This window comes from Homo sapiens, chromosome 20 (genome assembly GCF_000001405.40).
Source record: "Homo sapiens chromosome 20, GRCh38.p14 Primary Assembly".
In the NCBI taxonomy this organism is placed as follows: domain Eukaryota; kingdom Metazoa; phylum Chordata; class Mammalia; order Primates; family Hominidae; genus Homo; species Homo sapiens.
In genome coordinates, this window is record NC_000020.11 from 32,685,521 (window position 1) to 32,709,774 (window position 24,254).

Sequence of the window (24,254 nt, forward strand, 5' to 3'; positions counted from 1 at the left end):
GAGAGAAAGAAAGGTCTTGCCAGTACCTTCTGTCCAGGCCTTGCAAACCCAGAGTGGCCCCAAGTCAGTGGGGTCTCCTTCAGGCCCCACAAGGCGAGCTGGAGAGCTGCTGGAAATCAGCTGATGTGCTGGCAGAGCTCCAGCCCAGAGTTTCTCATGACTTGGAGCCGACATATTCCCAGCATCTCAGCTCATTTCAGGCAAAATCATCGAGCATATTTTAGGATCAGCAAAAACCCACAATGCCTTTGGCCGAGCACTTTCCCTCTTCTTGTTGAAGCCCAGGGGTATTTTCTAGGAAATTGAGTCCATCTGTTTCTGATTCATTCGTACTTAACTCATCACCGGGCTGTTTTGTAAGAGCCCTTTGATGTGAAAGCCGCCTTATTCCATAAGCCTCTCTAAGCCTTTATTTAGTCAACAGCAGGTAAACGGGCCTCTCCAAAGAGGCCAGAGGCAGCATATTGATCTCCTGCTACACAAAGTCCATGTGAAGGGAAAGTGTGGCCCAAACGCCTGCCTGGAGACACTGAGACTCCCCGTCTTTGGGCCTAGCAGGGCAAAGCAGACCACTCCCTAGCCCTGACCCAGCGCTGTGGGGCTCAGCCACGCAGAGGGACCTCCTCTGGCGACTCACTAACTCTCCTCCCCAGGCACTGTAACCCAGCGTCCTCCTCCATAACTCACAGCCTTGCTACATAGATTTACGATTTCCTGTATGTTGCCTAAGAGTTCCTTTTTTTTGGTGGGGGACAGGGTCTTGTTCTGTCACCCAGGTTGGAGTGCAGTGGTGTGATCATGACTCACTGCAGCCTTGACCTCCCAGGCTCAAGCAATCCTCCCTTCAGCCTCCCACATAGCTGGGACCACAGGTGTGTGCCGCCACACCTGGCTAATTTTTGTATTTTTTGTTGAGACAGGGTCTCACTATGTTGCCCGGACTGGTCTTGAACTCCTGGGCTCAAGTGATCTGCCCAATTCAGTCTCCCAAAGTACTGGGGTTATAGGTGTGAGCCACCGTGCCCAGCCCCAAGTGGTTTTTTTTTGTTTTGTTTTTTGAGATGGGGTTCAAGCGATCCTCCTGCCTCAGCCTCCCAAATAGCTGGACCTACAGGTGCCTGCCACCACGCCCAGCTAATTTTTGTATTATTAGTAGAGACAGGGTTTCATTGTGTTGGTCAGGCTGGTCTCGAACTCCTGACCTCAGGTGATCCACCCGCCTTGACCTCCCAAAGTGCGGGGGTTACAGGTGTGAGCCACGGTGCCCAGCCAATAGAATTTTTTTTTTAAAGAGAACCATTGGTCTAGCCATTCATTTAGTCTTGGGTAGAACTTGCAGGGGGATCGGGTAGCTACCTACCACCAATAAATTTGCTTGGTTTATCATTTTCTCCAAAAGTACTCAGTACTATGGCTTAGGCTTAGTACTAAGCACCCAATGATGAGTGATAGAGGTGATGATGTACAACTCTGAAGCAGGCACTGCATTCAGTCCTCAGAATCACCTTCAGAGGATACACTATCTCCATTTTATAGATGAACCTCAAAGGTATGGACAGGTGACACAAGCCTCCAGGTTACGCACTGCTTAGCACCAGGGCTGGTACACAGTGGGCGGCTAACATATTCTCACTGAACTGGTGCATCCATGAATATAAACAATAATAGGTGGATTTAGGTCGAGCATGGTGGCTCACGCCTGTCATCCCAACACTTCGGGAGGCTGAGGCGGGAGGATCACTTGAACCCGAGTTTGAGACCAGCCGGGACAACAGAGTGAGACTTCATCATTGCAAAAAATTTAAAAATTAGCCAGTCATGGTGGTGTGCACCTGTAGTCCTAGCTACTCTGGTGGCTGAGGTGGGAGGAGCTCTTGAGCCCAGGAGTTCGAGGCTGCAGTGAGTTATGATTGTGCCACTGCACTCCAGCCTCAGTGACAGAGTGAGACCCTATCTTTAGAAAATTAATTAATTAATTTAAAAAAAGGAGGTGGTGGGCTGGGCGCGGTGGCTCATGCCTGTAATCCCAGCACTTTGGGAGGCCAAGGTGGGCAGATCACCTGAGGTCAGGAATTCGAGACCAGCCTGGCTAACATAGTGAAACCCTGTCTCTACTAAAAATACAAAAAAGTTAGCCGGGCGTGGTGGCATGTGACTATAGTGCCAGCTACTCAGGAGGCTGAGGCACGAGAATTGCTCAAACCCAGATGGCCAAGGTTGCAGTGAGCCAAAATCACGCCACTGAACTCCAGCATGGGAAACAGAATGAGGCTCTGTCTCAAAAAGAAGAAGAAAAAAGAGATGGATTTAAGTCTCAGGCCAGGCACGGTGGCTCACGCCTGTAATCCCAACACTTTGGGAGGCCGAGGCAGGTGGATCACCTGAGATCAGGAGTTCCAGACCAGCCTGGTCAACATGGTGAAACCCCGTCCCTACTAAAAATACAAAAATTAGCTGGGCATGGTGGCATGCCCCTGTAATCCCAGCTACTTGGGAGGCTGAGGCAGGAGAATCGTTTGAACCTGGAAGGCGGAGGGTGCAATGAGTAGAGATCGTGCCACTACACTCCAGCCTGGGCAACAAGAGTGAAACTCCATCTCAAAATAAATAAATAAATAAATAAATAAATAAATAAATAAATAAATAAATAAATAAAAATAAACCCAAGTCTCATTCAAAGTCAAACACATTCTACCACATTAGCAAGAAGTGTTACATGAGGTAATGCACACTGTGGGAGAGAAAGGACTCCCTCCCTTCTTCCTGCCTTCCCTCCCTCCCTCTCATTTGAGTTTATGAAAGCAGTGATGCGACCAAAGCTTTTCTGAATCTAACCTACCCTCAAGACATGCAGGGCCTAACTTAGGGAGCAGCGATGAACAGAGATGGTAAGGAACTGGTTTCACAGGGGCCATGACATGGGGGACCACCTGCTAGAGGAACTGCAAATGACTCAGGCCACGGGCTCAGATCAGCCCAGGGAATCACCGCAGTCTGGACAGCAACAAGGCATCTAGAAATAATTGAGGTGGTCAGTGGGGAGGAAGTTCAGTTGTTTTGGCTGGAAAAAAGGTTGTTTTTTTAGAAGGAGGCTATCTCTGTCACCTACGTTGGAGTGCAGTGGCCTGATCTCAGCTCACTGCAACCTCCACCTCCTGGGTTCAAGCAATTCTCCTACCTCAGCCTCCCAAATAGCTGGGAGTACAGGTGCGCGACACTATGCCTGGCTAATTTTTTATTTTTAGTAGAGATGGGGTTTCACCATGTTTCCCAGGCTGGTCTTGAACTCCTGAACTGAAGCAATCTGCCCGCCTTGGCCTCCCAAAGTGCTGGGATTACAGGCGGGAGCCACCACTCCCTGCTTGAAAAAAATGTTTTTTTATTTTTATTTTTTTTATTTTTATTTTTTTGAGGGGATTGCACAGTTTATTTCCAAACACTCAGAGGATAGGAGGTGGCCTATGGGCTCCATCTGCCTCCCCTCCCTGCATTTGGCTGAATCAAGAACTTCTCCCCCCGACCCCCAAGACCCTAGGCTGTGCCCAATAGAGAAGGCACTCTCACCCCCCACCCTGAGGAGACCTAGACAGGTGAGGAGCATGGAGGGTGGGGGAACAGAGTTCAAGTATTCACAGTTCCCCCATCTACACCCCTGGATTACACTGTGCCAGAGCCATGAGGGAGGATCCCACCTCTGGGATTCCTAGTGGTGTTGATAGTCCTTCTCCCACTTAGAACCCTCCAGATGAACTCCCTACTCCTTTTCCCTGAAATAACAAACCAAGTCCTAAGCCCTGTAGTCTGGGCAAGGAGGGGCCTTAGCAGGCCACTCACCCAAGGCCCCCAGGGATGGGGGTGAGAGCCTTCACCTGTAGTGAATGGGTTGGGAGCAAGTGTCTATAAGGAGAGAGGAAGGGAGAGAACTGAGAGGACCCTGGGAGGCAGGCTTGGAGGCTTCTGACACATGAGTTCAGACAGCTCTGGTCTGCGACTCCACCCCACCCCACACCCCAAGCCCAGAATCCCTGAGAGTCCAACTGCAAAGGCAGTATGGCCGGAGGGAGGAATGGGAGCAGGGGTAGAGTTGAGCAGGACCTTGGCCCCCCTCTCCTAGTAGGTCCTGCTCCTGGGACACATGCTTAGGGACGGCCAGGACCAGGCTCAGGTCCTAGTCCCATCTCTTAGGGTGCTGATCTTCCAGAATAGCTGAATCCTGGGGAACATAGACACACCAATCCCCACACCCCAGACGTCCTGGCCTCAGGTAGAATGGTGGGAATGGGCTCTCACAAGGGTATTATAAAAAGCTAAAACCATTAAACACTTTCTGGGGAGAAGTGGCTCCCAGTCTCTTGCCTCCCCAAGTTATCAGTCTCCCCAGCGCCTAGCAGACAGGGCTAAGGAGGTCCCAGAGAGCTGAGGGAGGAGACGGCCACAGCCCCTGGGCCCAGAGAGAGGGCCCACTAGCACCATGGAATGTTGAGGTGCCTCTGCAGCCTGACTGGCCCCCACACAGGGGCCCTCCGAAGCTGGAGTGCACACTTGCTAAAGCTTCTGTACTCTTGAGAGGGGACCCCTGCAAGGGAGCAGAGAAGGCAAAGACTTCGCTTAAGTCCAGGCAGGGGTCTGAACTGGGACCCCAAAGGGCACCCTTGGGAGTCATGATTTGAAGAATCTTCGTACCACAAACTGGCCCAACAGAACCACACCCAGAACCACCAGCACGTTCAGGATGGGACCATTGCCCAAGTTCAGGGCTGCCACCCAGCCACCCCTCTGTGCAATCCACCGGGCAATGCAGTGATGCAGCATGAAGTCCACCACAAAGCGGGTCACCTGGCCCAGGAAGCCAGTCAGGCCACGCTGGTAGATGTGTAGGGCCAGACGGTAGCTGAAGCCCAGAAGAGCCACCACACGGCCCCAATTGATGCCACTCTCAAACAGGCTGGAGGCAATCTTGGTGAAGTACTCATAGGCATTCTCTGCCGTGGGCTGCAGGTGCTGCAACATGGTCTGGAACTCTGAGTCATAGCGTCGGTTGATGTCGTCCCCAATGATGGCGAGCTGCCGTCCCACCTGCCCCATGGTGCTGCTAGGTTGCAGAGGTAAGGTGACCATCTCTGGGTCGGCAGGGGCAGCCGCCCCTTCAGCCTCCTGTTCCTGCTGATGGTGGTAAAAAACGTAGCTGCGGAAAACCTCCTCTGTGTCCTGGGCTACCTGCTCCTCAGAAGCAGAGGGCAGGGCAGGCTCTCCGCACTCCTGCCTGGGAGGACCTGGGCCTTGCCCCGAGGCCATTTTTCAGGTCTCAGTGGAGGACGGGATCAGCCTGCCGGGATCCTGGCCCAACCCGGGTGGCTCAGCAGGGTGGAGATGGAGGTCCCGAGGGGCTGGCGGCTGCTGCTCCCAGGGGCTGAGTGGGAGCCCAGTTTCCAGGAATGGGCGTCAGTGCATTCCCAGCATCTGGATGTAGCCTTTACTTGTCCCTGTGCAGCCTGAGGGACCCGCGAGACTCCAGTGATCATAGAGGTGCCAGCCAAAAATGTTTTTTTAAATGATGTTCTCAGTATCTACGTTCTTAGCAACTAAGATGATGGATCTTAGTTATAGAACTCATAACTAATAAAATCCTCTAGGACTACAGTTCATACACCAAAAAATAGAAGCTATAATAATCTTGTATAAAGGAAAGAATCTAAAATAGAAACTATGGACAGTGGCTACCTCTGGGGAATAGGTTGTTTTTACTTTTCATCTTTTTCAGTTCTATAACATTTGAATTTTTATTAAGTATATTTCATGTATTGTCTCTATAAATAGAGCACATTAATTTATATTAAAATTGAAAATTTTTGAAACTATAAATAAGCAAAAGAAATTAAAAACCTATAATTCTACTGCCCAAAAATAACCACCGATAACATTTTTGTTTATATCCATTTTGTCCATTTAGTTTGTTTCTATGTAAACATTTTTTTAAAAGAGAAGTTTCACCCTCACCTTACTATGTTTTGGCTTTTTTTTCTTTGAGATGGAGTCTCGCTCTGTTGCCCAGGCTGGAGTGCAGTGGCGCAATCTCAGCTCACTGCAACTTCTGCCTCCCGGGTTCAAGCGATTCTCCTGCCTCAGCCTCCTGAGTAGCTGGGACTACAGGCGCTTGCCACCACACCTGGCTATTTTTTGTATTTTTAGCAGAAACAGGGTTTCACCATATTGGCCAGGCTGGTCTCGAACTCCTGACTTTGCGATCCGCCTGCCTTGGCCTCCCAAAGTACTTGGATTATAGGCATGAGCCACTGCGCCGGCCTGTTTTTTTTTTGTTTTTTTGTTTTTTGTTTTTTTTTGAGACAGAGTCTTACTCTGTTGCCCAGGCTGGAGTGCAGTGGCGCGACCTTGGCTTACTGCAAACTCCGCCTCCTGGGTTCAAGCGATTCTCCTGCCTCAGCCTCCTGAGTAGCTGGGATTACAGGTGCCACCACCACGACTGGCTAATTTTTTTTTTTTATTTTTAGTAGAGACAGGGTTTCACCATCTTGGCCAAGCTGGTCTTGAACTCCTGACTTCGTGATCCACCCGTCTCGGCCTCCCAAAGTGCTGGGATTACAGGCGTGAGCCACCACGCCAAGGCTTTTTTAATTTCTAATTTTTTATAAAGGCAGGGACTCGCTGTGTTGCCTGGACTTGTCTCCAGCTCCTGGGCTCAAGCAATCCTCCCACCTGCACCTCCCAAAGTGCTAGGATTACAAGCATGAGCCACTGTGCCCGGCCCTCACCTTACTGTCTTCTAACCTCATTTTTGTGTCTACACATCACGACCATGATCCTCTTTGTAGCACTCTCTTCAACATTAGTTATTCTCATATTAAAACGGGCCATTTACATTGGTAAACATTTTAAAAACTGTGATGTATCCATGCTTTGGAATGCAACACTGGCACAGTGATTCATGCCTGTAATTCCAGAACTTTGGAGGACTGAGGTGGGAGGATTGCTTGAAGCCGGGAGTTCGAGACTAGCCTGAGCAACATTGCGAGAATCTGTCTCTACAAAAAATACAAAAAAATTTAGGTGAGCATGGAGACCAGTAAAAGGCAAAACAGTAGGGACAGAAACCAGGCCAGTGGCTGCCAGGACTGTGCTGACGGGAGGGCTGAGCATGGTGGCACATGCCTGTAACCCCAGCTACTTGGGAGGCCGAAGCAGGAGAATCACCTGAGACCAGGAGTTCCAGACCAGCCTGGGCGACATGGCAAAATCCCGTCTCTACTAAAAAATACAAAAATTGGCCAGGCATGCACCACAGGGCTTTTAGGCTCAGCCAGGCTCAGGCGGCTCCATGGTGCTTCCAACAAAAATTGAAAAAAAAAAAAAAAAAAGAAAAAAAAATTAACCGGCATGGTGGCACACACACTTGTATTTCCAGCTACTCAGGAGGCTGAGGTGGGAGGATATCTTGAGCCTGGGAGGTGGAGGTTGCGGAGAGCTGCGATAGTGCACTCCACCCTGGGCAACAGAGTGAGACCCTATCTCAAAAACAAAACAAAAACAAAAACAAAAAACAACCCAGCCATAAAAAGGAAAGAACTACAGATGCACTAGTAATACAGATGAATCTCAAAAACATTATGCTAAGTGGGAGAAGTGGGGCACAAAAAGCTACATAATGGGCTGGGCGCGGTGGCTCACACCTGTAATCCCAGCACTTTGGGAGGCCAAGGCAGGCGGATTACTTGAGGTCAGGAGTTTGAGACTAGCCTGGCCAACATGGGGAAACCCCGTCTCTACTAAAAATACAAAAATTAGCCGGGCATACTCGGGAGGCTGAGGCAGGGGAATGGCGTGAACCCGGGAGGCGGAGCTTGCAGTGAGCCGAGATCATGCCACTGCACTCTAGCCTGGGTGACAGGGCGAGACTCCATCTCAAAAAAAAAAAAAAATTAGCTGGGCATGGTGGTGTACGCCTGTGGTCCCAACTACTCGGGAGGCTGAGGCAGGAGAATCACTTGAACCCGGGAGGCGGAGGTTGCAGTGAGCCGAAATCACAGCATTGCACTCTAGCCTGGGCAACAAGAGCGAGACTCCTTCTCAAAAAATAAAAAATAAAAAATAAAACAAGTCTCCATAATGAATGATGTCACTTAAATGACATTCTGGAAAAGGCAAAACAGTAGGGACAGAAACCAGGTCAGTGGCTGCCAGGACTGTGCTGATGGGAGGGCTGACTCTAACCACACATGAGGGCACTTCGTGGGGTAATGAAAATTGTCCATGTCTTGACTGTGGTAGTGATTACACTACCATTACACATTTATCAAAACTCACTGAACTGCATACTCAAGAAGGGTAAATTTCACTATATGTAAGTTACTTGACTTCTCCCACCCCCCCCGCCAAAAAAAACAAACGAAAGTGCTGTCCAAATATAAAGTATCATTAGACATTATAGCACTTTTCTCAGAGATTCTGAAATACCTTTGTGAAATGTGACAAATGTTAAAAAAACAAAAACAAAACCCCAGCCAGGCGTGGTGGCTCATGCCTATAATCTCAACATTTTGGGAGACCAAGGCAGGAGGATCCCTTGAGCCCAGGAGTTTGAGACCAACCCTGGCAACAGAGTGAGAACCTGTCTCTACAAAAAATACAAAAAAAAAAAAAAAAATTAGCTGGGCATAGTGGTGCATGCCTGTAATCCCAGCTACCAGGGAGAATTACCTGAGCCCAGGAGGTCGAGGCTGCGGTGGGTCGTGGTCACACCACTGCACTCCAGCCCGGGCAATAGAATGAGACTCTGTCTCAAAAAAAAAAAATAAAGCAACTTGGAAAAGATCAAGTATCCTTTAGAAAAATATTTGTTGTTGAGTGTTCTGTCTTTCAGAAAGGCCATTTTCCACTCTGGCAAATGCTCATGTGTCAGGTTGCTGGTCCCACAAGAGAGCAGTTGACCACTTGGGCTATTTGAGGACTTTCCACAACATCATCAGCTTTTTTATTTTTAAAATATGAGGCTGGAGTGTAGTGGCACAGATCATGGCTTACTGCAGCCTCTAACTCCGGCTCAAGCAATCCTCCCACTTCAGCCTCCAGAGCAACTGGGACTACAGTCACATGCCACCACACCTGGCTAATTTTTAAGTTTTTTGTAGAGACAGGGTTTTGCTATGTTGACCAGGCTGGTCTGGAACTCCTGGCCTCACATGATCCTCCTGCCTTGGCCTCCTAAAGGGCTGAGATTACAGATGTGAGCCACTGTGCCAGGCCCAGCTTCTTTTTTTTTTTTTTTTTTTTTTTTGAGACGAAGTCTAGCTCTGTCGCCCAGGCTGCAGCACAGTGGTGTGATCTCTGCTCACTGCAAGCTCCGCCTCCTGGGTTCACGCCATTCTCCTGCCTCAGCCTCCCAAGTAACTGGGACTACAGGCACCTGCCACCACGCCCGGCTAATTTTTTATATTTTTAGTAGAGACGGGGTTTCACCTGTGTTAGCCAGGATGCTCTCGATCTCCTGACCTTGTGATCCACCTGCCTCGGCCTCCCAAAGTGCTGGGATTACAAGCGTAAGCCACCGTGCCCGGCCCCCAGGTTCTTTTTTTAATGCCACTATAGTAAAAATAAACAATAGTGTCAGAACTGAACAGTTATAGGAAACAAGAATGATAGGCCAAAAAGTGAAAAAATGAAAGAAAAAAAAAAAGAACTGAACAATCAACACCCCCTCCCCCCACTTGATCTTCCCATCCCAGCCAAGCCAGTCCTCTTCCCTCCAGGGAAAGAATACAGGTATTTCTGGCTCATCTCCTCTTGGGCCAGACTATTACCATCCTAATGAACACTATACTCCAAAAGCAAATAAACTGCAATCAAAAGTGAGATTACCAGACAGCAGATTTCTAAACAGAATTGGAAGAACAGTGAATCAATGCAAAGGTGCAGTGCTAACAGTAAGAAAAATCCTGCCCAAATCCCCCAGCATTGCAGCAAAATCCCCCTTGACAGTCTGCAGAGCCTGATCAATGCCCCTTATTCAACAGAGTATATTCGTGACAAAATTCCAATCCAGCAAAGGAACTGTAGTAGTTCTGGAGTTCATAATGGGCTCTGAACTATTGTAAATGGGAGTGAGGATATAATCTACTCTTACATAGAAAAAACAACCTGGCCAGGTGCGGTGGCTCACGCCTGTAATCCCAGTACTTTGGGAGGCCCAGGCAGGTGGACCACGAGGTCAGGAGATTGAGACCATCCTGGCGAACACGGTGAAACTCCACCTCTACTAAAAATACAAAAATTAGCTGGGTGTGGTGTGACGCATGCCTGTAATCCCAGCTACTGGGGAGGCTGAGGCAGGAGAATCGCTTGAATCAGGGAGTCAGAGGTTGCAGTGAGCCGAGATCGCGCCACATCAGCCTGGTGACAGAGCAAGACTCCGTCTCAAAAAAAAAAAAAAAAGAAAGAAAGAAAGAAAAAAAGAAAAAACAACTTGTCAGTTATCTGTGTTCAGGGCTTATCACTCCCTCCCCCAGGGCCTAGCAAAGCCTTTGCCCATATGAGGCGCTCCAAGAATGTTGGTGGAGTCATGGAGCAGGATAGTCAACTGCTCTGGGAAGAGGGCCCCCTTACACTGTGGAGCTATCTGTGATCTATGTTAAAACTGACCCACAATGAAAACAACTTCCCTGGCCTTTTTTTTTTTTTTTTTTTTTTTTTTTTTTTCAGACAGAGCCTCACTCTGTCGCCCAGGCTGGAGTGCAGTGGCGGGATCTCAATTCACTGCAACCTTCACCTCCCGGGTTCAAGCAATTCTTGTGTCTCAGCCTCTGGAGTAGCTGGGACTACAGGCACGAGCCACCATACCTGGCTAAGTTTTTGTATTTTTAGTAGAGATGGGGTTTCACCATGTTGGCCAGGCTGGTCTCGAACTCCTGACCTCAGGTGATCCGCCTGCCTCGGCCTCCCAAAGTGCAGGGATTACGGGTGTGAGCCACCACACCTGGCCTGGATTTCTTCTTCTAAAGTCAGGGAGGTTTGTTAACATTGCTTCCATGGAGGCTCTACACTCAGCCTCATTTCATTTCAACAAAGGGCAGGACCTGTTCCAAGGCTGGCTTGGGGAGGAGGAGCGGGGCTGAATGATGCTGATTGTAGGGGTGATTGAGCTGAAAAGCAAGTCTCCTATCACGAAGCTCATGGGCTGGGCATGGTGGCTCACGCCTGTAATTCTAGCACTTTGGGAGGCCGAGTCAGGCAGATCGCTTGAGCACAGGAGTTTGAGAACAGCCTGGCCAACATGGCAAAACCCTTCTCTACTAAAAATATGAAAATTAGTTGGGTGTGGTGGCAGGTGCCTGTAATCCCAGCTACTTAGGTGGCTGAGGCACAGGAATCGCTTGAACCCCGGAGGTGGGGGTTGCAGTGAGCCAAGATGGTGCCACTGGACTCCAGTCTGGGCAAGAGAGCAAGACTCTGTCTCAAAAACAAGACAAAACAAAACACACACACACACACACACACACACACACGCACAAAAGAAAGAAAGAAACTCAGGGGCTAGTGGGAAAGAGAATCCTGGGAACAAATAATTACGATTTGATAATAAGTAGCTCACTGGTTAGTTAAGCATGCTCTGTGTGAAGTGATCTACCCCAATAACCTTGTGAGCTGAGAATTATAACCCTGTTACAAACGGGGAAACTAAGGTTCTCAGATGTTAAGGAGTTTGCCCAAGGTCACACAGTTAATAAGCAGAAAGGCCAGTATTGAAACCCAAGCAGGGCTGGGTGTGGTGGCTCACACCTGTAATCTTGATGCTTTGGGAGGCCCGAGGCGGGAGAATCACTTGAGTCAAAGAGTTTGAGACCAGCCTGGGCAATACAGTGAGACAGCCCCCCCTCCCCCCACCCCGCTCTCTACAAAGCGAAAAAAGAAACCCCAGGCAGTCTGACTTCAGAGCTTGCACTCCTAACCCCTGAAGCAGAGGAATGAGGGCCCAAGGTGTGTTTATTATGGCCAAGAACTATCAGGAGAGGCCTTTAGAAATGTGGGGCAGCACTGTGAGCCCAAGGGGAGAAGAGGCAGATGGCACCATGGCTTGGTGGCTGTAAGCAGCCTGGTAGTCTAGATGCTCCAGTAGGATGCCTGCCATGAGGCAGTGGAGATGGAGCACTGGAGGAGGTCAGCAGGGCCAGGTTGTCAGGGCTGAGTGTTCTAAGTTAGGAGTTCTGACTTTCCTCTGGACACCTGGCAGAACCCTGAGCAGTGGATCTGTTGGGTGACATGAGACTTGTGCATAAGAATGGTCACACAGGAAATGGGCTGGACTGTGGAAGCTGTGAGGCTGAAGACTCCAGGGGGGCCATCAGAAAGCCAATGTTGTGATCCAGGTGGGGCAGCAGCGGCTGAATTGGGCAGGGCAAGGAGCTCCCTGGTCAGAATCTGTCCGGTGGCCAGCTGGGTGCAACTCTTACACAGCACCCGGACTTGGACCTGCACCAGATGGCTTGGCGTGCTGGAAGCCCTTCTAGTGTCAGGAGCCCATTTCTGAATCAAGCAGGACCCCATGGATCACAGGACAGCACTGTCTGACCCCTGGCCAGTGACCACAGTTTCAGTCTCCAGGCCTCAGTTTCCCCATCTGTAATATGAGTGAGTTTTAAACAGATTGTATTGGCCGGGCATAGTGGTTCACACCTGTAATCCCAGCACTTTGGGAGGCCGAGGCAGGCAGATCACCTAAGGTCAGGAGTTCAAGACCAGCCTGGCCAATATAGCGAAACCCTGTCTCTACTAAAAATACAAATCTAGCCGGGCATGGTGGAATGCGCCTGTAGTCCCAGCTACTCGGGAGGCTGAGGCAGGAGAATCACTTAAACCCAGGAAGCAGAGGTTGCAGTGAGCGAAGATCACACCACTGCACTCTAGCCTGGGCAACAGAGCAAGACCCCATCTCAAAAAATAATAATAATAAATAAATTGATAGTATTTTAGGTACCTTCCCGTTCTGACTTTCTGTGAACTTTTTTTTCTAATTTTTTATTTTTACTTCCTTTTTTGTGAATTCTTTTTATTAATACATTAGATTCTCATGGTCTCAAGCTACATGAGGCTCTCTGAAAACTCATGAATATATCTGGACACTGTTCAAAGGCACTCATCTGTTCCTCTTTGGAACTTTTGGACAGTAAACTTGCTGGTGGAAGCAGAAATTGAAAGAAGGTAGAGATCAACTTGGCACTGTGAGGATTAATTTTGTGTCAACTTGGCTGGACCACAGTGCTTAGAGAGTTGGTTGAACACTATTCTAGATGTTTTTCTGAAGGTGTTTATGGATGACACTAAATTTTTTTTTTTTTTGAGATGGAGTCTCACTCTCACCCAGGCTGAAGTGCAGTGGCACAATCTCGGCTCACTGCAACCTCTGCCCCCCGGGTTCAAGCAATTAGATTCTCTTGCCTCAGCCTCCCAAGTAGCTGGGAATATAGGCACCTGCCACAGCGCCCAGCTAATTTTTGCATTTTTAGTAGAGACAGGGTTTCACCATCTTGGCCAGGCTGGTCTTGAACTCCTGACCTCATGATCCACCTGTCTCAGCCTCCCAAAGGGCTGGGATTACAGACGTGAGCCACCTTGCCCGGCCGACACTAACATTTAAATCAGTGGACTTTTGCCAGGTGCGATGGCTCACGCCTGTAATCCCAGTACTTTGGGAAGCTGAGGTGGGCAGATCACGAGGTCAGGAGTTCGAGACCAGCCTGACCAACATGGTGAAACCCCATCTCTACTAAAAAAAAAAAAAAAATACAAAAATTAGCCGGGCGTGGTAGTACACACCTGTAATCCCAGCTACTCAGGAGGCTGAGGCAGGAGAATCGCTTGAACCTGGGAGGCGGAGGTTGCATTGAGCTGAGATTGTGCCATTGCACTCCAGCCTGGGCGACAGAGTGGGATTCCATCTCAAAAAAATAAAAAATTAGTGGACTTTTAAGTACAGCAGCCCCCCCTTATCCATGTGGGATATGTTCCAAGACCCCTAGCAGATTCCTAAACCCACAGATAGTCCCGAGCCCTATACATATGTTTTTCTCAATCTGACAACAGTACCTGCTACTAAATGATTAACAGCATATATAGCATGGGTACCCTGGAGAAAGGATTGATTCCCATACCACAACATGAATTCGTGTCCAGGATGGAGTGGGCCAGCACGAGATTTCATCATGCTACTCAGGATGGTAGGCAATTGAAAGCTTATAAATTATTTCTGGAATTTTCCACTTAATATTTTCAGACTGTGAGTAAATGAAACCAGGGAAAATGAAAACATGGATACAGGGGGACCTATTGTATAGCAAATTCTTCTCCATAATGTGGGTGGGCCTCATCCAATCAGTTAAAGCCTTAAAAAAAAAAAAAAAAAGCCTGGCATCCTATCCCTTCCTCCCCAGCAAGGAATTCTGATAGCAGACAGCCTTTATTTTCCTATTTTTTTTAGAGACAAGGTCTCACGCCATTGCTCAGACTGGTCTTGAACTCCTGGGCTCAAGTGATCCTCCTGCCTTGGCCTCCCAAGAAGCTGGGGGTACAGGTGTGTGCCACAGTGCCTGGCTAGTAGATACCCTTTGAACTGCAACTCTTCCTGCATATGCAGCCTGCTGGTCTACTCTGAAGACTGACCATGTCACTGTAATCATGTGAGCCAATCTTTTAAAATAAAAATCTCTCTCCCCAATACATATACATATACATATGTACACATACATCCTGTTGATTTTGTTCTCTGAGAACTGTGATTAACACTGGCACCATTTATCAAAACTGCTCATACTGGACCAGGCGCAGTGGCTCATGCCTGTAATCCCAGCACTTTGGGAGGCCAAGGCGGGTGGATCACCTGAGGTCAGGAGTTCGAGACCAGCCTGGCCAACATGGCAAAACCCCGTCTCTACTAAAAATACAAAAAAATTAGCCAGGTGTGTTGGCATGCACCCGTAATCCCAGCTACTCAGAAGACTGAAGCAGGAGAATCGCCTGAACCCAAGAGGCAGAGGCTGCAGTGAGCCAAGATTGCGCCGCTTCACTCCAGCCTGGGTGACAGAGTGAGACTCCATCTAAAAAAACAACAAAAACCACAACAACAACAAAAAAACACTGCTCGTGCTGGTTACAATCCATCCACAAAACTGAATATGCTACAGCCACAGGGAGGGGATGCAGACTCTTTATAAAATGATATGGAAAGATCTCCTAGATGTATTAACAAAAGTATGTAGAGTGTGCAATTATCTGTGTAAACAAAAAAGGGTGTAAAAATAAAAATTCACGTTGTTTATTTTTTCATTTTTTGAGACAGGGTCTCACTCTGTCGCCCAGGCTGCAGTGCAGTGGTATGACTGATCACAGCTCACTGCAGCCTCTAACTCCTAGGATCAACTAATCCTTCTGCCCCAGCCTCTCAAGTGGCTGGGACAACAGACATACACCATCAAGTTCAGCAATTATTTTTTTTTTTCCCGATATGGAGTTTTGCCTGTTGCCCAGGCTGGAGTGCAGTGGTACGATATCGGCTCACTGCAACTTCTGCCTCCCAGGTTCAAGCAATTCTCCTACCTCAGACTCCTGAGTAGGTGGGATTACAGGTGCCTGCCACTACAACTGGCTAATTTTTGTATTTTTAGTAGAGATGCAGTTTCGCCATGTTGGCCAGACTGGTCTTGAACTCCTGACCTCGTGATCCACCTGCCTCAGCCTGCCAAAGTGCTGGGATTACAGGTGTGAGCCACTGTGCCCAGCCACGTTCAGCAAACTTTTAAATTTTTTGTAGAGACAGGGTCTCCCCATGTTGCCCAGGCTGGTTTCAAACTCCTGGCCTCAAGCAATCCTCCTGCCTCGGCCTCCAAAAATGCTGGGATTACAGGTGTGAGCCACCATGACTGACCCTATTGTTTCTATGTGGGGAAAAATAAAAACCTGTGGAAGGGTACCTAAGAAACTAACAACAGAGGTTATCTATTGGAACAGGCCAGTGGGAGAATTAAGTAAATGGGAGACAAGGGAGAAGAAACCTTTTGTTTTACTCTTTTTTATACTCTTTGATAAATGTACATATTCTATCACCCAGCAGTTCCATACCCATGTAATTACCTTATAAACATACTTCCATATGTGCAAAACGACATATATACAAGGATATTCTGTTGTGGCATTATTTGTAAGAGAAAAAGAATGGGAACAACCTAGACACCCATCAGCAAGAAACTGATTAAATAAATCATCCATTTGAAGTAAAACGGTGCATTTGTTACCAAGAATGACGCAGTTCTCTGTGTTCTGATATGGAACGATTTCCAAGTTGAATGGAAAAAAGAAAGGTGCAGGACGGTGGGTACATAATGCTACCATTTGTGTGGGAAGAAAAGTGAAACTATATGCATATCCGTTTGCAAATGCAGTTAATGTCTTCAGAACACAGAATAAACTAATAACAGTGGCTACCTCTGGGGAAGAGAACTGGGTAACTGGGAAACGGTGGTGGGGAGGGGTTATTACCTTACACTGTACCTTTTAATCATGGGCATCTTTTAGCTATTCAAAACTTTATAAAATTTCTGAGGAGGTATTTGCCAGGCGCGGTGGCTCACGCCTGTGATCCCAGCACTTTGGGAGGCCAAGGCGGGCAGATCACGAGGTCAAGAAATCGAGATCATCCTGGCTAACATGGTGAAACCCCCTTTCTACTAAAAATACAAAAAATTAGCTGGGCGTGGTGGCGGGTGCCTGTAGTCCCAACTACTCAGGAGGCTGAGGCAGGAGAATGGCGTGAACCCGGGAGGCGGAGCCTGCAGGGAGCCGAGATGCCGCCATTGCACTCCAGCCTGGGTGACAGAGTGAGACTCCGTCTCAAAAAAAAAAAAAAAAAATTCTGAGGAGGAGGGTAGTGGAGGAGGAGGAGCAGGAAAAGTCATCTGTACACAAAGCATTTCACATGTTATGCTTTTTCCTGTGGCTTTTAACCTGAGTTTCCCCGGAATTGCTCTTACAAATTCCAACTTTGGAACAGACCCAATTTCACTGGAGACCCAGGATCGTCACAAAACCAGGAAGATAATTTTTAAAGACAAGAGCAAGCACTAGCTCTCTGCAAGGTACACGACTCTTTAATCCATGCAGAAAGACAACTGGATCCAGACCTTTTCTTCAGAACCTTTTTATTCATCATCTAACCAACAGAGGTGGTTGGCTCGAACTCAAACTAAAATGGCCTCAAAAGGCCCACCTCGTTACGACATGACAGGGCAAAACCAGAAGTAGGGACAGAGTTTAGCCTCAGTTCTCTGCAGAGAAGACCAAGCATGTATTTACACACAGGTGCCTCATTAAGAACTGATTGGCAATGTTCCACCAGCACAGACCCAGAGTGTGCAGAAATCCGTGGGGGCTCTGTATATGTGTCATTCAGACAATCCGCCGATTCCTCAGCCATAAACAAGCTCTTGCTTTTTGGGAGGAGGGTGATCAGCATGTTATCTTGAATGATGGCACCATTTGTTTACTCTGGAACTTTGAAGGGGAGGTGACAACTTATTTTCTCCCCTGAATCTGAGATGCAGTGGCCTGTCAGAGTATCTAAAAATGTGTCCTGGAAGACAGGTGGTGGTGGTTGCCCTAACAGAGAGTTTACAGGGTAATTGTGTTGGGCTCTTTCAGTACTTAATCCTGCTGTTTTTCAGAAACCCTTTGCACCTGGGCCCCATGGAGCCAGCAGGGCCCCATGGAGCATCCCACAGGCCTGTGAGTGAAGTGCCTCTCAGAGCAGTCACCCAGGGAAGGGAGGAGGGCAGGGAACGGGGCCAGGGGAGATGCAGGGACAGAAATCAGCAGAAACACTCCATGCTGGTTCTGACTCGCTCCATCTCGTGCAGGAAGCTGTAGAACTGAGGCAAGGTTAATTCTGGGGAGAGAAAATTCAGCTTCAGATAAATGTTTCCAACTCCACAGAATCATCCAAGAAAATTAATTTCCACCCGGAGGATTTTTTTTTTCTTTTTTGGCTTAATACATCTAAGCAGCTCTTGATGGGTAACTGATCATAATAAAGAACTGAGAGACTTGAATGCAGAAGGTTCTCTGCTCCAAAGGAAAAAAAAGGGGAGTGAGTGTTCAAATGGCACAGCTCCATGGCACAAAGAGATGAAAGGGTATCATTCGGGATGTTCAATGTGACTTCTATGGCAAGAGCTTCTTGCTCGTCAACCTTCTTCTTCAATCCCAGCCATTCCGTTCCCACCCTTTCCCTTTTTCAAAACGGCTCTTCAACTGTGGGGGCTCCAACCTGCCAGTGGCTTTCTAACACTCCTTGTGCCATCTTTCAGGAGAGGAAAGGCAGTGGAACAGCTACTCCACAGCTGGCAATGACTGTTTTTATAGAAGACATGATTTGTGGTGAGCGTCACCAGCCCCTGATTGCAGAGAACACAAAAAAGGTGAAGAGGCTCAAGTGGGAATTCAGACTCACCTATATACACATTTTCGGTTTGATTTCCTTTCTTAACCACCAACTTTAGCTGATGAAAGAAAAAGAAATAATTTAAATTAAAATGATGACAACTGGGCAAAGAAATTCTTAAAACCCTTTGACTTAATTAAGCTTCCAACCTGAGAGTCATACAGGAGCAGTCTGGATCATCCACCACCGAAAATTCTAACAATTCCCATGATTACAGGAACAATCACGCATCAATGAATAACACTAGGATCTATTCATCTAAAAGTAGGCATGTTAGTGACTACATCTTTAGCTGGCCACACTGCTCTGAGATATATAAGGTACTTCAGTAAAACATCCATTTAAATATCCATTTAACCCAATGTAGATATAATTTTTAACCAAGTCAAAAATCTACCCATTTTCAAGGATCAGGAGAAGACTTACTTGTAAAAATATACTTCCCACTTTCTCCAATTCGCTGCTCCCAGATGTCACTGTGACAAAAAAAAAAAAAAAGAGAGAGAGAGAGAGAAATAACAAGTGACTGATTGAGGACTGACCCTGAAGACCCCAGTTTTGCAGCTGTCCAGCAGAAGCCATGTGGGGGCAAGTATGAGGGCAGCAAGGTGTGCTTTTGGAAAGTCAACTTATCCAGAGCCATGAAACAGCTACTGAATGTGGACAGAATACAAAACAGCAGCTGCTGCCCCAACAGTGCTAGGGACTAGGTCATGCCTTCCCCATAGTGGCTGTGTCACAGCCTCTGCACCCCAACCCTGTACCACCCAAATAACCCAGGACTGGTTGTAACTAGTTACCTCCAAATTTCCACTCCATATCTATGAGCTGGTTAATCATCAGAGTCTGACCTATGGCCCATCGAGCAAGGGTGGGAGCATTCTGCTTCCACTGGAACAAAAGCAAAAGACAAAGTCAATTACAATAGGAAAATCTCCCCCTCTCCATCCTGCCCTAAACATTGCAATATTTAGCATTGACACAGATAGTGGGGAGGGTGCAGAAGATAGTGGGGAGGGTGCAGAACGAAGGGCTCAGTCTATATGCACATACCTAGGGATGGAGGAGGGCACAGAGTGGCAGACCACAACATTAATGTTGTATTTTTCATTCCAAGATTTAATCCATCTTGGAAAAAAAACAGTGCTGCCATCATACTGGCCCCCACATGGCTTCTACTAGACAATTGCAAGATGGGGTCTTCAGGGTAAGTTCTCAATCAGTCACTTGTTATTTTTCTCTATTTTTGTCACAGTGACATCTGAGAGCAGTGAATTGGAGAAAGGAGGCATATATATGTGTATATATATACATACATATATATGTATATATATATGTGTGTGTGTATATATATATATATATATTTTTTTTTTTCTTTGAGATGGAGTCTCGCTCTGTTGCCCAGGCTAGAGTGCAGTGGCATGATCTTGGCTCGCTGCAAGCTCCACCTCCTGGGTTCACGCCACTCTCCTGCCTCAGCCTCCCAAGTAGCTGGGACCACAGGCGCCCACCACCATGCCCAGCTAATTTTTTATATTTTTAGTAGAGATGGGGTTTCACCATGTTAGGCAGGATGATCTCGATCTCCTGACCTCGTGATCCGCCCGCCTTGGCCTCCCAAAGTGTTGGGATTACAGGCGTGAGCCACCGGGCCTGGCCAGTAGGAGGTATATTTTTACAAGTAAGTCCTCTCCTGATCCATGAAAATGGGCAGATTTTTGACTGGGTCAAATCAGGAGAAATGATTAGAGATACACTGAATAGTGCTGGTTAAAGCTGTGTGTATGACATGCGCTTGAAGCCAGATGAAAACCTTAGGCTGGGGAAATGATGATACTGATAGGTGGTTTGGCCTTACTTGGCATTTCCCATTGTTTTCTCTCTTCATGATATAAAAGCAAGGGGCTGGCGGTGGTGGTTCACGACTGTAATCCCAGCACTTTCAGAGGCTGAGGCAGGTGGATCACCTGAGGTCGGGAGTTCAAGACCAGCCTGACCAACATGGTGAAACCCCGTCTCTACTAAAAATGCAAAATTAGCCAGGCATGGTGGCACATGCCTGTAATCCCAGCTACTTGGAAGGCTGGGGCAGGAGAATTGCTTGAACCAAGGAGGTGGAGGTTGCAGTGAGCCGAGATTGTGCCATTGCACTCTAGCCTGGGCAACGAGAGCGAAACTCTGTCTCAAAAAAAAAAAAAAAGAAAGAAAGAAAGAAAGAGGTCGAGCACAGTAGCTCATGCCTGTAATCCCAGCACTTTGGGAGGCCAAGGTGGGTGGATCACAATGTCAGGAGTTCGAGACCAGCCTGGCTAACACAGCGAAACCCCGTCTCTACTAAAAATACAAAAAATTAGCTGGGCATGGTGGCATGTGCCTGTAGTCCCAGCTACTGGGGAGGCTGAGGCAGAAGAATCACTTGAACCCGAGAGGCAGAGGTTGTGGTGAGCCGAGATCACACTGCCACTGCACTCCAGCCTGGACAGAATGCGACTCCATCTCAAAAAAAAAAAAAAGAAAGAAAAGCAAGGGATCTTAATCAGCCATTAACCTTGATTAAGAGGAATTATACCTTTTCAGAAAAGTAAGTGGCTTTCTCCTCACTAAGACCTATAAGAGAACAGAAGGAGATATTAACATAATAAAAAGCCTCAGAAGCCAGTCACCCTGAGCAACCCTGGCCAATGACCTACCCAGAGTTATGAAATCCGCCTGGACCTGCTTGGCTGTGAGACTCTTCTTCAAAGCACCTGGGAGGCAGGGGAGAAATCAGTTAGAAAGGCAGACCAGTGAATTAGTCGGCAATAAGTATTTAATGGGCACAACCTATGTGACCTAAAGGACAAAAGGAACACCCAAAGACTGGCCAGCTCCAAGATCTCAATCCAGCCATGGGGAAATAGCATCCGAAATGACCAGAAAACAAGAAAGACAGTACATTTTACAATTTATTTATTTTATTTAAAAAATATATTTATTTTTGCCGGGCACGGTAGCTCAAGCCTGTAATCCCAGCACTTTGGGAGGCCGAGGCAGGTGGATCACGACATCAGGAGATCGAGACCATCCTGGCTAACATGGTGAAACCCTGTCTCTATTAAAAATACAAAAAAAAAAAAAAAAATTAGCCAGGCATGGTGGCAGGCACCTATAGTCCCAGCTACTCGGGAGGCTGAGGCAGGAGAATGGCGTGAACCCGGGAGGCGGAGCTTGCAGTGAGCCGAGATCACGCCACTGCACTCCAGCCTGGGCAACAGAGCGAGACTCCGTCTCAAAAAAAAAAAATATATATATATATACTTATCTCAAAATATATATATATTTTTTGAGACGGAGTCTCGCTCTGTTGCCCAGGCTGGAGTGCAGTGGCGTGATCTCGGCTCACTGCAACCTACACCTCCTGGGTTCAAGTGATTTTCATGCCTCAGCCTCCTGAACAGCTGGGACTACAGGCGTGCGCCACCACACCAAACCAATTTTTGTATTTTTAGTAGAGACTGGGTTTTACCATGTTGACCAGGCTGGTCTTGAACTATTGACCTCAAGTGATCTGCTCACCTTGGCCTCCCAAAGTGCTAGGATTAAAGGGGTGAGAGCCACCATGCCTGGCACATATTTTTTTTTTAATTGTACAACACAATTATTTATCCCTCCAACCAGTGTGAGAGAAGTCAGAGACAACAGAAAAGACTTCACGGACTTGGGGATGGAGCAACTGGTCTGAGGAATGAGTAAGGATACGAATTCCTGGAGCAAGAGGCAGGGGAGTGTAATGTCAGGTTGGGCACAGGGGGCAACCACCTAGAGCTCCACAATGCATTATGTAGCCACTATTGCATGTGGTTATGCAAATTTTAATTAAATAAAATTTAAAATTCCATTCCTCAGTCTCACTAGCTATTTCCTGTGTCAAACAGTCACACAAGGCCAGTGACCATTATACTGAACACTGAAGATTACAGACCATTTACATCTGCAAAGAAAGTTCTATTGGATGGCATTGTCCTAAGAAGTTAGCTTTCACACAGTACACCAAGATGGACTAAACAGACTAACCTCTACAATTCACAAGTCACTTCCAGAGGGGCTGTCAAAACTTCTCAGAAGCCCTAGGAACACTTCCCTGTGGTGGTCACCTTGTTTTGCTAGGCTCCAATTCCTGAAAACAAAGCCAGCAATCTGGGCTTCTCAATGTTTAACCTGCAGGCTACATCCCCAGTCACAATTTGGCAACCACTCTCAAATTTTCCACTTTTTAGTTCACCAGAAAATGACTAATTAAAGAATAGGAAGATGCCAACCACCATCAAGGGAAGGCCCTGAACCTATACCCTAAACCCAAGTCCCCACCCCCAACTCACTCCAGAAAAACAATCCTAAAGGCTGTTGTACCGGTAAAATCAACCATATAAACAAAGGGAGGAAATCTTTTATCTCCAAAATCAGACTGAGCAAGGAAGCCACACGGAATAAAAAAGGCAAGACCCCGGGAAACCTTAGCCATAAAGGCCCTCTGAGAAGGTGGCTACTTCCCAGCCAATCCAAATAACTCCTAACTACCATGAATACAGTGTCTTAGTTTATATCCAATTCAAACCCAATGCTTTATTTGACAATCCCCAAACACTGGGCTTTATTATTGTAACTTTTTTTTTTTTTTTGAGACAGTGAGACACGGTTTCACTCTATCGCCCAGGCTGGAGTGCAGTTGGGCAATCTCAGCTCACCTCCTACCACACCGGGGTGGGTGGGTGGGGCTCAAGCAATCCTCCCACCTCAGCCTCCCACATAGCTGGGACTACAGGCGTGTGCCATGATGCCCAGCTAATTTTTTGAATTTTTGTAGGGACAGGGTCTTGCCATGTTGCCCAGGCTGGTCTCAAACTCCTGACCTCAAGCAATCCACCCACCTTGGCCTCCCAAAGTGCTGGGATTACAGACATGAGCCACCATGCCCAGCTATTATTTTAACTTAGTTTACCAGGAAACATTAAGCATTTTTGGGAGAAAATTTGGCAAATGCAGATAGTCAAGAATTGCACTGCCAAGAATTCACCCAACCAAGCTGCACCCAAAAGCACGCTGAGATATACAGGGGAAGCTCTTTAGCAATGTGGATAGTAGGGATGAAAGGTCATGGAGAGACCAGGCACGGTGGCTCATGCCTGTAATGCCAGCACTTTGGGAGGCTGAGGGGGTGGATCACTTGAGGTCAGTAGTTCGAGACCAGCCTGGCCAACGTGGCAAAACCCCGTCTCTACTAAAAGTACAAAAATTAGCCGGGTGTGGTGGCATGCGCCTGTAGTCCCAGCTACTTGGGAGGCTGAGGGTGCAGTGAGCAGAGACGGCACCACTGCATTACAGCCTGGCAACAGAGCAACTCTGTCTCAAAAAAAAAAAAAAACAGGCTGGGCGCCTGTTACAAAATTAGCCAGGAGGGTGAGGCAGGAGAATCATCTGAGCCTGGCAGGTGGAGGTTGCCGTGAGCCGAGATCTGCCACTGCACTCAAGCCTGGGCGACAGAGCGAGACTCCGTCTCAAAAACAAACGATGACAAAAACAACAAACAAAAACCTCAGGTCAGACCATGCTATTTTTTCTGCTCAAAACCCTCTACTATCTCCTATTTCACTCACAGTAAAATCCAAAGGTTGTACAACACCCTGCATGCTCTGGCCTCCTCTTAGAACCCCTAGGCTCTCTCCCTTGCTTACTGTGCTATTTTTAGAATATGCCAGACAGCTTTCTACCCCTGGCCATTTGC

At 47.6% G+C, this 24,254-nt stretch overlaps 1 protein-coding gene and 1 pseudogene across 8 annotated transcripts in view, besides 5 other annotated features; both read right to left on the minus strand.

The window, feature by feature from the left end:
• Window positions 695–1,334: an enhancer, noted in NCBI's record as "OCT4-H3K27ac-H3K4me1 hESC enhancer chr20:31274017-31274656 (GRCh37/hg19 assembly coordinates)". NCBI's record gives its function as "activates a minimal SCP1, AML or CMV promoter by ChIP-STARR-seq in primed H9 embryonic stem cells {active_cell/tissue: H9 hESC(primed)}" and the evidence as "EXISTENCE:reporter gene assay evidence [ECO:0000049][PMID:30033119]".
• BAK1P1 (BCL2 antagonist/killer 1 pseudogene 1) lies at window positions 3,410–5,534 on the minus strand (annotated as a pseudogene).
• Window positions 4,559–5,121: an enhancer, noted in NCBI's record as "H3K27ac-H3K4me1 hESC enhancer chr20:31277881-31278443 (GRCh37/hg19 assembly coordinates)". NCBI's record gives its function as "activates a minimal SCP1, AML or CMV promoter by ChIP-STARR-seq in primed H9 embryonic stem cells {active_cell/tissue: H9 hESC(primed)}" and the evidence as "EXISTENCE:reporter gene assay evidence [ECO:0000049][PMID:30033119]".
• COMMD7 (COMM domain containing 7) overlaps window positions 17,179–24,254 on the minus strand; it is a 40,769-nt gene continuing 33,693 nt past the window's right edge. For 2 of the 8 annotated variants that reach the window (NM_001099339.2, NM_053041.3), the window contains exons 4-9: window positions 21,184–21,240; window positions 21,063–21,100; window positions 19,294–19,384; window positions 18,920–18,969; window positions 18,503–18,551; window positions 17,179–17,938 (exon numbers count right to left, since the gene is read on the minus strand). In NM_001099339.2, the coding sequence (NP_001092809.1) occupies window positions 17,862–17,938; window positions 18,503–18,551; window positions 18,920–18,969; window positions 19,294–19,384; window positions 21,063–21,100; window positions 21,184–21,240 (362 nt within the window). In that variant the 3' untranslated portion in view covers window positions 17,179–17,861. Of the gene's footprint in view, window positions 18,552–18,919; window positions 18,970–19,293; window positions 19,385–21,062; window positions 21,101–21,183; window positions 21,241–24,254 lie in introns of all 8 variants that reach the window. The other 6 variants (XM_017027685.3, XM_011528604.4, XM_005260300.5 and 3 more) reach the window with 3 other exon arrangements.
• Window positions 17,372–17,888: an enhancer, noted in NCBI's record as "OCT4-NANOG hESC enhancer chr20:31290694-31291210 (GRCh37/hg19 assembly coordinates)". NCBI's record gives its function as "activates a minimal SCP1, AML or CMV promoter by ChIP-STARR-seq in naive H9 embryonic stem cells {active_cell/tissue: H9 hESC(naive)}" and the evidence as "EXISTENCE:reporter gene assay evidence [ECO:0000049][PMID:30033119]".
• Window positions 19,985–20,732: an enhancer, noted in NCBI's record as "H3K27ac hESC enhancer chr20:31293307-31294054 (GRCh37/hg19 assembly coordinates)". NCBI's record gives its function as "activates a minimal SCP1, AML or CMV promoter by ChIP-STARR-seq in primed H9 embryonic stem cells {active_cell/tissue: H9 hESC(primed)}" and the evidence as "EXISTENCE:reporter gene assay evidence [ECO:0000049][PMID:30033119]".
• Window positions 23,342–23,848: an enhancer, noted in NCBI's record as "H3K27ac-H3K4me1 hESC enhancer chr20:31296664-31297170 (GRCh37/hg19 assembly coordinates)". NCBI's record gives its function as "activates a minimal SCP1, AML or CMV promoter by ChIP-STARR-seq in primed H9 embryonic stem cells {active_cell/tissue: H9 hESC(primed)}" and the evidence as "EXISTENCE:reporter gene assay evidence [ECO:0000049][PMID:30033119]".